This window comes from Homo sapiens, chromosome 1 (genome assembly GCF_000001405.40).
Source record: "Homo sapiens chromosome 1, GRCh38.p14 Primary Assembly".
NCBI classification, from domain to species: domain Eukaryota; kingdom Metazoa; phylum Chordata; class Mammalia; order Primates; family Hominidae; genus Homo; species Homo sapiens.
The window spans coordinates 23,823,869-23,839,681 of NC_000001.11; the positions used below are offsets into that span (position 1 = coordinate 23,823,869).

Here is a 15,813-nt window from a genome sequence, read left to right on the forward strand (position 1 = left end):
AAAAAAAAAAAGAAAGAAAAGAAAAGAAATCTGAGACCCAAAGAGATTAAGTAATCTTCCCGAGGTGACATGGGGAGTTACTCACTGAGGCAATATCTAAACCTGGCAGTGTGGCTCTAGAGCACAAGCTCCTAACCTCTGGGCCACTGTTGCCTCTTTACCACCGTTCGTTCGGTCCACAGTCTTCTCCTGGTTAAACATCCCGTTCCTCCTCTGTAAAGCTCTGCTCAGAGAGGGTCCCCCTAACCACACAAGTACTGTGCCACAGTGTCCTGAGGTATGGTGTACCTGCATCAACACCAACAGCGAATACTGACTAAACCCAGTGTTAAACTACAGGCCAGGGACTATTATTATCCCAACTCCGTAGGTGAAGAAACTAAGCCTCAGAAAGGTTACCCAAAAATCACAATTAGAAAGTGACAGAGCTTGGACTTGAACCCATATCTAGGCCTAATACTAATACTGGTTCCTATGCTTGGAACCCCATGGAGGGCCATCTCATTACACCAAATATTTCTTAAAAGCTTATTAATATCTACTATTGCGTTTAACTTTCCAAGTTGGAATTGCCATCTTCATTTTACACATGAGCAGGTGGTGCAGGTGAATGGCCAAGTAAAGATATTAACGTGGCTTTCTGAGAGGGACCCAGTGCCAGGAGTGTATTTTTCCCTCTATACAGTTATAACTCCTTCTCAACTCCCTAAGGTAAAAATACCACCACCGACTGATCACTTATTAGGAGCCAGAACACTGCCAGATGTGTTACTTACATTTTCTCTAATTTCCAAAACAACCCCAAGGGAATGTTGTCCGTTTTACAGACGAAAGAGCTGAGGTTTAGAGAAAGTAAATAACTATGTCATTAAGTCTAGAAAGTGGCAGAACTATTGGGACACCCTAGCTTCAGCTTTTATTTTTTCTGCTCCATACAGCTACGTCTCCCACACTTTTTCTGCGCTGAGAATGGGAGAGGGGAAAACATCAGGATCGAACAGGATCAAAGTGCAATTCCAAGGGAATCACAGCTTGGCTCCAATCAACGCAAGTCCCGCTCGGTAGGCTGGGATAGTTCCCCAAGCATCTCTAAAAGCAACAACAGTTGGAAATGGAGACGAAGGAAATGGAAGCGTGTTCTTGATTTTCACTAATGAAGAGTTGGAGAGGTCTGAAGTTCAATTAGAGGGAGAAAGGGGCCAGGGTCATCGGAAAGGGCCCTGGGCGGGGAATCAGGGCACCTAGGATGGCGTCCCAGGTCTCCATGACCCAGACAAGTCACTCCACCTCTCCGGACCTCAGTTTTCCCATCCCCTTCAAAGGATTTGAGGGGAAAAGGGAGGGTCCAGGACTCCAACGCCCTCCCGACTCTGGCCTGAGAGCTGTCCGGCCTCGCCTCTAAGAGAGCAGTCACCACGGGCCAAGCCCCCAACCCTGACAGTCAGAGTGCCTGCAGGGCCGCCGCCTCGGCGGCTCGGGGCACTTACAGCCCGGAGGGACGCCAAGCCCACCAGTCGCCGCGGAAGCGCCTTCCTCATTGCTGCCATCTTGGCCCAGAATCCCCCGCGGCAGTCCAGCTGGGCCCCGCGTGACCGATGGCTCGTCTGGTGGGCGCGGCCCCGCCCCCGCCCCTCCGCCGTGACTTCCGAAGCTGGCTCCACCCCCAGCCTCTCTCCGTTTTGATTCCGAGCGCCTCTTCCATGCCAGGCCAAGTGAGACGCTAGGAATATAAAGATGAACAGAATCAGCCTGGACACCATGTAATCCTAGCACTTTGGGAGACCGAGGCGGGTAGATCACCTGAGGTCAGGAATTCGAGACCAGCCTGGCTAACATGGCGAAACCCCCGTCTCTCCAAAAAATCCAAAAAAAAAAAAAAAAAAAAAAAAAAAAAAAAAAAGCCGGGCGTGGTGGTGGGCGCCTGTAATCCCAGCTACTTGGGAAGCTGAGGCAGGAGAATTGTTTGAACCCGGGAGGCGAGGTTGCAGCGAGCGGAGATCGTGCCACTGCACTCCAGCCTGGGCGACACAGTGAGAGCCTGTCCAAAACAAAAAACCCAAAACCAAACAAACAAAAACATGAAAAGAAATTAACCAAATTCTGTGGCTTCTTGTGTTTAGAGTGTGGGAGGTGTGAGGAGACACATATTAATAGTTACACAAACAGTTGTGTCATTTCTAACTTGCACTATAAGAAGCAACGATTTGCTACTCACTGTTCCGAGTTCTTAGCACGGATTAACTCACGCATCACGATCTTCAGGATTCAAACACAGGCAGGCAGCTCCAGAGAGGGGGCATCCTTAGATTTCATACCTTAAAAAAATGATTAAGATTTATCTAGGTGTACTTTCTGAAGGGCTGAAAAAAAAAAAAATCTATCCAGGTGAAGAGGATACAAGAAAAACTTTCCAGACGGTGTAGCATTCGCAATGGCCCTGAGGCAAAGAAAATGCTGAGAACACTGTTTTTCTCTCTTTTGTTTTGTTGGTTTGTTTTGTTTGTTTGAGATGGAGTCTCACTCTGTCACCCAGGTTGGAGTGCAGTGGCGCGATTTCGGCTCACTGCAACCTCCGCCTCCCGAGTTCAAGAGAGTCTCGTGCCTCAGTCTCCCGAGTAGCTGGGATTACAGGTGTGCACCACCACGCCTGGCTAATTTTAGTGTTTTTAGTAGAAACGAGGTTTCACCGTGTTGGCCAGGCTGGTCTCAAATTCCTGACCTCAGGTGATCCGCCCGCCTTGGCCTCCCAAAATGCTGGGATTACAGGCGAGAGCCACCGCCCCCGGCCAGAGCACTGTTTTCAAACTGTATGTTGTACCCCACTAATTGGTCACAGTATCAATTTAGTGGGTACAAACTTTATTTAAAACAAAGAACTAGAATTTTATCTATCTATCATCTATCTATCTATCTATCTATCTATCTATCTATCTATCCATCTATATTTATTTATTAAGACGAAGTCTCACTGTGTTGCCCAGGCTGGAGTGCGGTGGCGTGATCTCGGCTCACTGCAACCTCTGACCCCGGGGTTCAAGCGATTCTCCTGCCTCAGCCTCCGGAGTAGCTGGGATTACAAGTGCCCATCACCGTGCCCAGATAATGTTTGTATTTTTAGTAGAGATGGAGGATTTCACCATGTTGGCCTGGGCTGAAGCAATCCACCCTCCTCGGCCTCCCAAAGTGCTGGGATTACAGGCGTGAGCCACTGTGCCAGGCCCCAAATATAAAATATTGCTCTATAAAATAATAAAAGAGTGATCTAAAAAAATAAAAATAATAATAAAAGAGAAAAGGCTGGGTGCAGTGGCTTACACCAGTAATTCCAGCACTTTGGGAGGTCGAGGTGGGAGGATCACTTGAGGTCAGAACTTGAAGACCACTCTGGCCAATAAAGTGAGACCCCAAGTCTATTCAATAAATAAGAAAAATAGCCAGGTGTGGTGGCTCATGCCTGTAATCCCAACACTTTGGGAGGCCGAGGTGGGCGGATCACTTGAGGTCAGGAGTTCGAGACCAGCCTGACCAACATGGTGAAACCCCGTCTCTACTAAAAATACAAAAATTAGCTGGGCATGGTGGTGCGTGCCTGTAATCCCAGCTACTCAGGAGGCTGAGACAGGAGAATCACTTGAACCTGGGAGGCGGAGGTTGCAGTGAGCCGAGATCACGCCACTGCACTTCAGCCTGAGTGACAGAACGAGTCTCTGTCTAAAAACTAAATAAATAATAATAATAAATAAGAAAAATATTAGAATACAATGTATAAAAGTAGTAAAGCCAAGTACTGCTTTGCAAAACTTTTGTTCATTATATATATCAACAAGGTTGCAATGTAAAATAAATTTCTTACTGTGGGCTGCACTTGGAATTGTTTGAAAACACCTTTTTAGCAAGATGAAAAGAAGGCTGGAATGATTGGAGAGCGGGGAGGGAGTAGGAAGGGGACTTCCTACTAAGATTGGAGAGTTTGGCAGGAACTGTCACAGGGCTTTGGTGAACACACTAATACCAGCTGTCCTAATAGCAGTGATTTTGAATGATTTAGAGTAGGGAAATCTGATTGAATTTGCATTTTTAAATAGTCACAGGGGCTACTGGTTGGATGTTAATTGTGTGTCTGGTATTCTCAGGGAAGGCAGTGAAGGCACTTTCCTTGACTTTAAGGAGCTCAGATTTTATCTAGGGAAAAAACAAGACATGATAATTATTCTGTTAGGCTTCAGCAGCACTGGAAATTTTCTCTATCATGACACTGGGAGCATTACTCACAGAATTCTCAAACCTGTGTTAGAGGGCTGCACTCGGCCCAAACATACTGGCATGGTATTATTTAAAATATGTCTTTCAAGACTTGTACACTGAAAATTATAAACCATTGGTGAAAAAAATTAAAGAAGACATAGTGGTAGGACATCCCATGTTCATGAATTGGAAGACTTAATACTGTTTTTTAGTTTGTTTGCTTTTGCTTTGAATTTTTTAATTTTTAATTTATTTTTATTGTTATTTATTTTATTGTTTGTTTACTTATTTATTTATTTTTGAGACAGAGTCTCACTCTGTCACCCAGGCTGGAGTGCAGAGGCGCAATCTCGACTCACTGCAACCTCCGCCTCCCGGGTTCAAGCGATTCTCCTGCCTCAGGTTCCCGAGTAGCTGGGATTACAGGCACCTGCCACTACGCCCAGCTAATTTTTGTATTTTTAGTACAGACGGGGTTTCACCATGTTGGCCAGGCTGGTCTCAAACTCCTGACCTCAAGTCATCCGCTCTCCTCGGCCTCCCAAAGTGCTGGAATTACAGGCGTGAGCCACCACACCCAGCCTTTTTTTTTTTTTTTTAGATGGGGTCTCACTCATTCTCTTGCCCAGGCTGGAGTGTAATAGTGCAATCATAGCTCACTGTAGCCTCAGCCTCCTGCACTCAAGCCATCCTCCCACCTCAGCCTCCTGAGTAGCCGGGACCACTGGTGCATGCACCATCACAACCAGCTAAGTTTTAAATTTTTTGGCCGACAATGGTCTTGCCATGTTGCCCAGGCTGGTCTTGAACTCCTGGGCTCAAGTGATCTTTCTTGTTTTGGTGCCCCAAAGTGTTGAGATTAAAGATGTGAGTCCCAGCACCCAGCCAAGAAGACTTAATATTGTTAAAATGTCAGGGAGGTGGAAGCTGCAGTGAGCTGTGATTGCACCACTGCACTCCAACCTAGGTGACAGTGAGACCCTGTCTGAAAAAATATAAAAAATAAAAATAAAAATTACCATATGATCCAGGAATTTCACTTCTAGGAATATACCCAAAATAATTGAAAACATGGACTTAAACATATGTACATATACCAATAGTGTTGCTATGTTCCTCATAAATACATATTCTTGTATATACAGAATATAAATATATTTATTTATATATTTATATATAGAATGTATAGAATATAAATTTATTTATAAATATACATATATATTTATATTCTGTATATACAAGAATATATATTTATGAGCAACATAGCAACATTATTGGTATGTGAATATCTGTTTAATTCCTTGTTTGCAATTATTTTCAGTATATTTCTAGAAGTGAAATTCCTGGATCATATGGTAATGTTTGTTTTTATTTTTGTTTTATTTATTTATTTTTTTGAGACTGAGTCTCACTCTATCACCCTGGCTGCAGTGCAGTGGTGCAATCTCAGCTCGCTGCAACCTCCGCCTCCTGGGTTCAAGCAATTTTCATGCTTCAGCCTCCCGAGAAGCTGGGATTACAGGCATACACCACCACACCTGGCCAATTTTTGTATTTTTAGTAGAGATGGGGTTTCACCATGTTGGTCAGGGTGGTCTCGAACTGCTGACCTCAAGTGATCCATCCACCTTGGCCTCCCAAAGTGCTGGGATTACAGGTGTGAGCCACCGCGCCCAGCCTAATTTTTTTTTTTTTTTTGAGACAGGGTCTTACTGTGTCACCTAGGCTGGAGTGCAGTGGTGCAATCACAGCTCACTGCAGCCTCCACCTCCCTGGGCTCAGGTGACCCTCCCACCTCAGCCTCCTGAGTAGCTTTTATGTATATATAAATTTACATATATAATTTTAAATATATTAATATATAATATATACTTATAAATTATTATATAACAAATTATATAATAAATATATTATATTTTATTTTATTTATAATTATATATTTTTATATAGTATATTTATATATAATATACTTATTATATATGCATATGTGTGTGTGTGTGTATATATATATATATATATATATATATATATATATATATATAAAAACTCTCCTATTGGTTCTGTTTCTCTGGAGAACCCTGTCTAACACAATGAGCAATAATGTTGCTCATAGTAACATTATCTGTGATGGCCAAAAGGCGTACAGAACGCACATGTGCATTAACAGATAAATGGATGAACAAAATGTGCTATATTGTATACCTACAATAGTTACTCATTCTTGAAAAGATATACAATTCTGACACATGTTGCAACATGGATAAACCTTAAAAATATTCTGCTAAGCCAGACACAAAAGGGCAAATTTCATGATTCCACTTATGTGGGTGTGATGGTTAATTTTATGTGTCAACTTGACTAGGCCACAGGGTATCCAAATATTTGACTACACATTATTTCCGGGTGTGTCTGTGAGGGCATTTCTGAATGAGGTTAGCATTTGAATCAGTAAAGGGAGTAAAGCAGATTACTCCCTCAATGTGGGGGGCATCATCCAATTCTTCGAAGGCCTGAATAGAACAAAAAGGTGGGGAAGGAAGAATTCTCTCTTCTACATTCAGACTGGGACTTACACTACACCATTGGTTCCTCTCATTCTCAGGCCCCTGGGCTTCAACTGGAGCTACACCTCACTGGCTTTTTTTGGTCTCCAGCTTGCTGACAGCAGATCATATTTCATACATATACATATCTTTTTTTTTTTTTTTTTTAAGATAGAGTTTTGCTCTTGTTGCCCAGGCTGGAGTGCAGTGGCGCGATCTTGGCTCACTGCAACCTCCACGGGTCAAGCGATTCTCCCGCCTCAGCCTACCGAGTAGCTGGGACTACAGGCACCCAACAACACGCCTGGCTAATTTTTGCATTTTTTTTTAATAGAGACGGGGTTTCACCATGTTGGCCAGGCTGGTCTTGAACTCCTAACCTCAGGTGCTCCAGCAGCCTCCAAAAGTGTTGGGATTACAGGCGTGAGCCACTGGGTCCGGCCTATATATCATCTTTTATTGGTTTTGTTTCTCTGGAGAATCCTAACTATTACAATGAGGACTTTATTATAGTCAAATTCATAGAGAAAGAAAGTTGAATAGTAGTTATTGGGGGCTGGGAGTGGAAAGAAATTGGGAGTTATTGTTTAATGGGTACAGAATTTCAGTTTGGGATATGAAGGAGTTCTGGATAGTGGAGATGGTTGTATAACAATGTGAATGTACTTAATGGCACTGAATTAAAATGGTAAACTTTATGCTATATATATTTTAAACAATAAAAAAAAATAAGTAACTGCACAAGAAAAAAAGACTTAGGCAAGGCATACCCTTGCCAGCTCCCCAGTCCCTACTACTCCTAATTGTCACAGACACGAGGCTTCTCTCCTTCCTCTGTTTGCCCCCCTAAAAGCCCTTGTTGGCAAATTCTCAAAAGTAAATAACTTACAAGCACAGCTCTGAGGCAAATGTCTAAACTAAAGGGCAGAGACTTTAACTGGTTGTTGAATGTGGTGTCTCCAATACCAGGCACATTTGGTGGCATGAAGTAAATACTGAAAGAGTAACACTAGCAACTGTTACAGACTTTGCTCAGGGTCACCCTTAGTTGGAATCTTATTTTAACCAAGATGTTTCCTTTTTTGCATTGTAACCCACCCTCAATTACAAAGCTTACAATAATTATTAACAATAGCCCCTACCATTTATTAAGTATATTTTCTGTATTGGTTGTGATATATAGTAACTTTTCATGAGTAATCAGACTCTGCAACATAAATGTTACTCTTTCCATCTGAGAAATGAGGAAACGGAGGCTTAAGAGACATTAAATAACTTTTCTAAGATCATGTATGGTAGGTAAGTTCAGACCCAAATCTGACTCTAGAGAATGCTTTCTTTGCTACATGATAACACTATTCCCTCTTTCCTCTTCCTTTCTCTCCAAATTACTAAAAGAGATGGCTGCTGTGATTAAGGCACAAGTTGGTGCTAGGTGCTAAGACCGCAGTAGTAAATAAGATTCACCACAATTCTGTGCACCTTTCTCAGACCTTCAGATTTTATGGTAATAGTTTTTTTTCCCAGGACTTTTTTTTTTCTTTTTAATTTTTTTTTTTTTAATGAGACGGAGTCTTGCTCTGTCGCCAGGCAGGAATGCAGTGGCGTGATCTTGGCTCACTGCAACCACCACCTCCTGGGTTCAAGAAATTCTCCTGTCTCAGCCTCCCCAATAGCTGGGACTACAGGTGCCCACCACCACACCTGGCTAATTTTTGTAGAGACGGGGTTTCACCATATTGGTCAGGCTGGTGGTCTCAAACTCCTGACCTCAGGTGATCCACCCGCCTCGGCCTCCCAAAGTGCTGAAATTACAGGCATGAGCCACCACGCCTGGCCTCAGATTGCATTTCTAATGCACAACAGCAAATTTCTGTTTATAGCTTTTCCTTAAAAGCAGATGACATCTCTTCTGCAAGTGGGAATAATAATGTTTAAATCCAACATCTGCCTTTCTGCAAATCCTGTGAGAGCAATAGCAGACTTTTTACAGTAGTGGAACTTAGTCAGTGTCAACTTTTATGAATGTTTATGATATTCTGGTCCATAAAGCAAATTTCAAAAAATTGGTGACATGTATATCCTATTAATTAACCATAATTAATGACAAATGGATAAGTGTGTGTGTGTGTGTGTGTGTGTGTGTGTGTGTGTGTGTGTTTGAGACAGGGTCTTTCTCTGTCACCCAGGCTGGAGTGCAGTGGCACAATCATAGCTCACTGCAGCCTTGAGCCTTTGGGTTCAAGTGATCCTCCCACCTCAGCCTCTCAAGTAGCTGGGATGACAGGCACATGCCACCATACCCAGCTAAATTTTTTGTTTTGTATTTTTTGTAGAGATGAGGGTCTTACTATGTTGCCAAGGCTGGTCTTGAACTCCTGGGCTCAAGTGATCCTCTCACCTTGGCATCCCAAAATGCTGGGATTGCAGGCATGAGCCACCATACCCAACTGGATAACTCATTTTAAGAAGAGATGAGATTATGTTGAAAATGAAGCCCACAGCAGCAGGTCATACACATCAATTTTTGGGGAATAAACTCATCTTGTTTGTGCCTTAATTGAAGAGGACCGACAATTAACAGCACAAACAGTAGCCAACACCATAGACATCTCAATTGGTTCAGTTTACACAATTCTGATGGAAAACTCAAGTTAGAGCAATTAAGTTAGACATAACTTTATGCTTGGAAAGTATGGGGAAAAAAACCCTAACTCATGGGTCAAAGAAAAAATCAAAATAGAAATTATAGGCCAGGCACAGTGGCTCACACCTGTAATCTCAGCACTTTGGGAGGCTGAGGCAGGTGGATCTCCTGAAGTCAGGAGTTTGAGACCAGCCTGGCCAACATGGTGAAACCCTGTCTCTACTAAAAATACAAAAAATTGGCTGGGCGTGGTGGCAGGTGCCTGTAATCCCAGCTACTTGGGAGGCTGAGGCAGGAGAATAGCTTCAACCTGGGAGGCAGAGGTTGCAGTGAGCCAAGATTGTGCCATTGCACTCCAGCCTGGGCAAGAAGAGCAAGACTCGGTCTAAAAAAAAAAAAAAGAAAAGAAAAGAAAGAAATTATAATAGGCCGGGTGTGGCGGCTCCTGCCTGTAATCCCAGCACTTTGGGAGGCTGAGAAGGGTGGATCACTTGAGGTCAGGAATTCAAGACCAGCCTGACCAACATGCAAAACCCTGTCTCTATTAAAAATACAAAAATTAGTTGGGCATGGTGGCTGATGTCCATAATCCCAGCTACTACAGAGGCTGAGGCAGGAGAATTAATTGAACCCAGGAGGCGGAGGTTGCGGTGAGCCGAGATCACACCACTGCACTCCAGCCTGGGTGACAGAGCAAGAGTCCATCTCCAAAGGAAAAAAAAAAAAAAAAGAAATTACAATATACTTAGAATTAAATGATAATGGAAATATATTAAAAGACAAATGCTTGTATTGGAAAAGGTAGTTGAAGAGTAGTGAATGAAGTTTCTAACTCAAGATGTGAGGCCAGATGCAGTGGCTCATGCCTGTAATCCCAGCATTTTAGGAGGCCGAGGCAGACAGATCACCTGAGGTCAGGAGTTTGAGACTGGCCTGGCCAACATGGTGAAACCCTATCTCTACTAAAAATACAAAAATTAACCGGGCATGTTGGCACACGCCTGTAGTCACAGCTACTCGGGAGTCTGAGGCAGGAGAATCGTTTGAACCTGGGAGGCAGAGGTTGCAGTGAGCCGAGATCATGCTGCTACACTCCAGCCTGGGTGACAGAGCAAGACTCCATCTCAAAAATAAATAAATAAATAAAAAGAAAAGAAAAGAAAAAGGTGTGAGAAAAACAACAGACAAAAAGTAAGTAAAATAAAAGACAAAATAAAAGACAGAAATTTGTTTGTTTTTTGAGACAGCATCTTGCTCTGTTGCCCAGAGTAAAATGTGGTGGTCTGATCACAGCTCACTGAAGCCTCAACCTCATGGGCTCAAGTGATCCTCCTGTCTCAACCTCTCGAGTAGCTGGGACTACAGGCATACACCATCATACCCAGCTAATTTTTGTATTTTTTGTGGAGGGGGTTTCGCCATGAACTCCTGGGCTCAAGCGATTTGCCTGCCTCAACTTCCTGAAGTGCTGGGTTTCAGGCATGAACCACTGCACCTGGCCTGAAAAGGTAGAAATTTGAATAAAATAAGAAAATATTACAACAAAGAGGATCATCCAACAACAACAACAACAAAAAAGAAACTTGGTTCTTTGAGTCTAATAAAATTGACAAGCTTCACAACAGATCACAAAAAAGGCATACATGTTTACTGCCTTTTTAAATTTATTTTTTATTTTTGAGACAGAGGCTTGCTTTGTCACCCAGGCTGCAGTGCAGTGGAGCGATCTCAGCTCACTGCAACTTGTGCCTCCAGGTTCAAATGATTCTCCTGCCTCAGCCTCCTGAGTAGCTGGGATCACAGGCACGTGCCACCGTACCAAGCTAATTTTTGTATTTTTAATGGAGATGAGGTTTCACCATGTTGGCCAGGCTGGTCTTCAACTCCTGACCTCAGGTGATCCACCTGCTTTGGCCGCCCAAAGTGCTGGGATTATGGGCCTGAGCCACCGTGCCCGGCCGTTTATTGCCCTTTATTTTTTTATTTTTTATTTATTTTTTGAGGCGGAGTATCGCTCTGTTGCCCAGGCTGGAGTGCAATGGCGCTATCTCAGCTCACTGCAAGCTCCGCCTCCCGGGTTCACTCCATTCTCCTGCCTCAGCCTCTCGAGTAGCTGGGACTACAGGCGCCCGCCACCACGCCCAGCTAATTTTTTTTTTGTATTTTTAGTAGAGGCGGGGTTTCACCGTGTTAGCCAGGATGGTCTCGATTTCCTGACCTCGTGATCCGCCCGCTTCGGCCTCCCAAAGTGCTGGGATTACAGGCGTGAGCCACCACACCCGGCCCATTTATTGCCCTTTAAAAGAACACTGAAGGTGGGGCGCGGTGGCTCACACCTGTAATCCCACCACTTTGGGAGGCTGAAGCAGGTGGATTACGAGGTCAGGAGTTCAAGACCAGCCTGGCCCAACATGGTGAAACCCCGTCTCCACTAAAAAAAAAAAAAAAAAAAAATCAAAAATTATCCGGGGGTGGTGGCAGGCGCCTGTGATCCCAGCTACTCTGGAGGCTGAGACAGGAAAATGCTTGAACCTGGGAGGTGGAGGTTACAGTGAGCCGAGATCATGCCACTGCACTCCAGCCTGGGCAACAGAGCAAGACTCTGTCTCAGAAAAAACAAAAACAAAAACAAAAAACCACCACCACACTGAAATGTTTAGTGTACAAATTTATGGACAATAAATCTGAAAACTGTGTTGAAATGGATATTTCCCAGAAAATCATAACTGAAAAGAAGTGGCCTAAAAATAAAAGAATCTTTGCATACACTAGGATGGCTGTAATTAAAAAAATAGAAAATAAGTGTTGACAAAGATGTGGAGAAATTGGAACCTTCATACATTGCTAGTGGGAATGTAAAGTGGTAGAACTGTTGTGGAAAACAGTTTGGTGGTTCCTCAAAACGCTAACCACGGACTCACCATATGACTTAGCAATTCCACTCCTAGGTATATACCCCAAAGAACTGAAAGTCAGGAACTCAAACACATACTTATACACCAATGTTCATTGCAGCATTATTCACAAAAGCCAAAAGGCATAAACAATTGAAATGTCCATCAACTGATGAACGGATAAACATGCAATGAAGTATTATTCAACCTTAAAAAAAGAGTAAAATTTTGATACCTGCTACAACATGGGTGAACCTTGAAATATTATGCTATAATATTATATGTTAAATGTTATGCTATAATAAGCCAGACACAAGATGACAAATATTGTATGATTCCACTTATATAAAATACCTAGAATGGCAAATTTATAAAGACAGAAAGTAAATTAGAGGTTCCCAGGGGCTGGGGTGGTGTGGGGAGAGGAATGGTGAGTTATTGCTTAATGGTCGTATAATTTCTGTTTGGGGTAATGAAAAATTTTAGAAATACGTAGCAGTAACGGTTGTGATACCGAAAGGAGGTACTGGGAAGGCAAGAGCATGGTCCCTATAAATGATAAGGAAAGGAGGGAAGGAAGTGCTGGGAAGGGAAGAGCATCGTCCCTATAAATGATAAGGAAAGGAGGGAAGGAAGTGCTGGGAAGGGAAGAGCATGGTCCCTATAAATGATAAGGAAAGGAGGGAAGGAAGTGCTGGGAAGGGAAGAGCATGGTCCCTATAAATGACATAAAAAGGAGGGAAGGAAGTGCTGGGAAGGGAAGAGCATGGTCCCTATAAATGACATAAAAAGGAGGGAAGGAAGTGCTGGGAAGGGAAGAGCATGGTCCCTATAAACGATAAGGAAAGGAGGGAAGGAAGTGCTGGGAAGGGAAGAGCGTCGTCCCTATAAATGATATGGAAAGGAGGGAAGGAAGTGCTGGGAAGGGAAGAGCATGGTCCCTATAAATGATAAGGAAAGGAGGGAAGGAAGTGCTGGGAAGGGAAGAGCATGGTCCCTATAAATGATAAGGAAAGGAGGGAAGGAAGTGCTGGGAAGGGAAGAGCATCGTCCCTATAAATGATAAGGAAAGGAGGGAAGGAAGTGCTGGGAAGGGAAGAGCATGGTCCCTATAAATGATAAGGAAAGGAGGGAAGGAAGTGCTGGGAAGGGAAGAGCATGGTCCCTATAAATGATAAGGAAAGGAGGGAAGGAAGTGCTGGGAAGGGAAGAGCATGGTCCCTATAAATGACATAAAAAGGAGGGAAGGAAGTGCTGGGAAGGGAAGAGCATGGTCCCTATAAATGACATATAAAGGAGGGAAGGAAGTGCTGGGAAGGGAAGAGCGTGGTCCCTATAAATGATAAGGAAAGGAGGGAAGGAAGTGCTGGGAAGGGAAGAGCGTGGTCCCTATAAATGATAAGGAAAGGAGGGAAGGAAGTGCTGGGAAGGGAAGAGCATGGTCCCTATAAATGATAAGGAAAGGAGGGAAGGAATTGCTGGGAAGGGAAGAGCATGGTCCCTATAAATGACATAAAAAGGAGCGAAGGAAGTGCTGGGAAGGGAAGAGCGTGGTCCCTATAAATGATAAGGAAAGGAGGGAAGGAAGTGCTGGGAAGGGAAGAGCATGGTCCCTATAAATGATATGGAAAGGTGGGAAGGAAGTGCTGGGAAGGGAAGAAGAGCATGGTCCCTATAAATGACATGGAAAGGTGGGAAGGAAGTGCTGGGTAGAGGAGGACGTGAGAACGTGGTCCTTGACTGCAGCTCCACCCCCACAGACCTAGGTGAGGACAGGCATTTTTGTTTTCCTGTCCCAATGTTGCGTTTCCCAAGACCACCCGGCCTGCCCCGCCCCCATCCTGTGCCTATAAAAACCCCCAAGACCTTAGCAGGCAGACACACAGGTAGCCGGACATGGAGAGGAGCACATCAGTGGAGGAACACACAGGCGGCTGGACGTCCAGAGGAGCACATCAGCAGGCACTGGCACGCCAGCAGGCCGCTGACCAGCAGAACGACGCAGAGTTTGGCTGGGACTGTGGAAGGGGGTCCCGGGCTGCTGAGTGGCCCCACTCCAGGGGAAAACCTTCCTACTCCATTCTCTTCTGGCTTCCAACATCTGCTAAGAGCTACCTCTACTCAATAAAACCTTGCACCCATTCTCTAAGCCCAGGTGTGATCCAATTCTTCTGGTACACCAAGGCAAGAACCCGGCATATAGAAAGCCCTCTCTGTCCTATGACAAGGTTGAGAGCCCACTCGAGCTGGTTAACTAACACAAGTCGCCTATAGACAGCAAAACTAAAAGAGCACCCTGTAACACACGCCCACTGGGGCTCCAGGAGCTGTAAGCATCCACCCCTACATGCTGCCGTGGGGTTGGAGGCCCACAGCCTCTGCCTGTCTGTATGCCCCCCTAGAGGTTTGAGCAGCCTGGCACTGAAGAAGCGAGCCACACCGCCCTCGCACGCCACACTCCCCTCGCACGCCACACCCCCGTCGCACGCCACACCCCCCTCGCACGCCACACCCCCGTCGCACGCCACACCCCCCTCGCACGCCCTGAGAGGGGGAAAAGGAACTTTACCCGTTTCAGTTGCACAACATTGTGAAAATAATGCCACTGAATTGTACACTTAAAAATGTTTAAAGTGACAAGTTTTATGTTACATATATTTTATCACACACAACAAAAGGGGTTAAACATACAGTTACCATATGACCCAGTAATTTCGCCTCTAGGTATATGAGGGGACTTTAAAAACTTATTGGAAAATGGAATCAAAATATTAAAATAAAAAATATAAACCTCATTTCTCAGTATAAGCTCTATCAAGGGCAAGACATTTTTGTAAAGCTATGATATGCATTTAGTTTACCTTTAAAGGGCAGAGGGTCCTGGGAATTAAACCACGTCAATGCAGTCTTTTTTGCATTATTAACTGAAGAAAAATGGGTGCCTTTTAAAGATTTTTTTTTTTTTTTTTTTTTTTTGAGACGGAGTCTCTCTCTGTCGTCCAGGCTGGAGTGCAGTGGCACAATCTCGGTTCACTGCAAGCTCCGCCTTCCGGGTTCACGCCATTCTCCTGCCTCAGCCTCCCGAGTAGCTGGGACTACAGGCGCCCGCCATCACGCCCAGCTAATTTTTTGTATTTTTAGTAGAGACGGGGTTTCACCGTGTTAGTCAGGATGGTCTCGATCTCCTGACCTCGTGATCTACCGGCCTCCAGCTTTTTTTTTTTTTTTTTTTTTTTGGAGTCTCGCTTTGTCGCCCAGGCTTGAGTGCAGTGGCGCAATCTCGGCTCACTGCAACCTCTGCTTCCCGGGTTCAAGCAATTCTCGTGCCTCAGCCTCCTGAGTAGCTGAGATTACAGGTGCCTGCCACCACACCGGGCTAATTTTTGTATTTTTAGTAGAGACGGGGTTTCACTGTGTTCGCCAGGATGGTCTCGATCTCCTGACCTCGTGATCCGCCCGCCTCGACCTCCCAAAGTGCTGGGAT

The 15,813-nt window shown here is 44.4% G+C and overlaps 1 protein-coding gene and 1 long non-coding RNA gene across 3 annotated transcripts in view, besides 1 other annotated feature; both read right to left on the minus strand.

The window, feature by feature from the left end:
- Positions 1-1,561, minus strand: part of HMGCL (3-hydroxy-3-methylglutaryl-CoA lyase) — a 23,545-nt gene extending 21,984 nt beyond the window's left edge. For both annotated transcript variants that reach the window (NM_001166059.2, NM_000191.3), the window contains exon 1: positions 1,488-1,561. In NM_001166059.2, coding sequence (NP_001159531.1) covers positions 1,488-1,547 — 60 coding nt within the window. In that variant the 5' untranslated portion in view covers positions 1,548-1,561. The remainder of the gene's footprint in view (positions 1-1,487) is intronic.
- Positions 1,562-2,430: an enhancer, noted in NCBI's record as "H3K27ac hESC enhancer chr1:24151920-24152788 (GRCh37/hg19 assembly coordinates)". NCBI's record gives its function as "activates a minimal SCP1, AML or CMV promoter by ChIP-STARR-seq in primed H9 embryonic stem cells {active_cell/tissue: H9 hESC(primed)}" and the evidence as "EXISTENCE:reporter gene assay evidence [ECO:0000049][PMID:30033119]".
- LOC105376861 (uncharacterized) lies at positions 1,672-14,768 on the minus strand. The gene is made up of 3 exons (XR_947068.2): positions 14,196-14,768; positions 2,216-2,315; positions 1,672-1,720 (listed from the first exon to the last, which is right to left on the minus strand). It is a non-coding gene; the product is annotated as an uncharacterized LOC105376861 (long non-coding RNA).
- Positions 14,769-15,813: the final 1,045 nt, after the last annotated feature.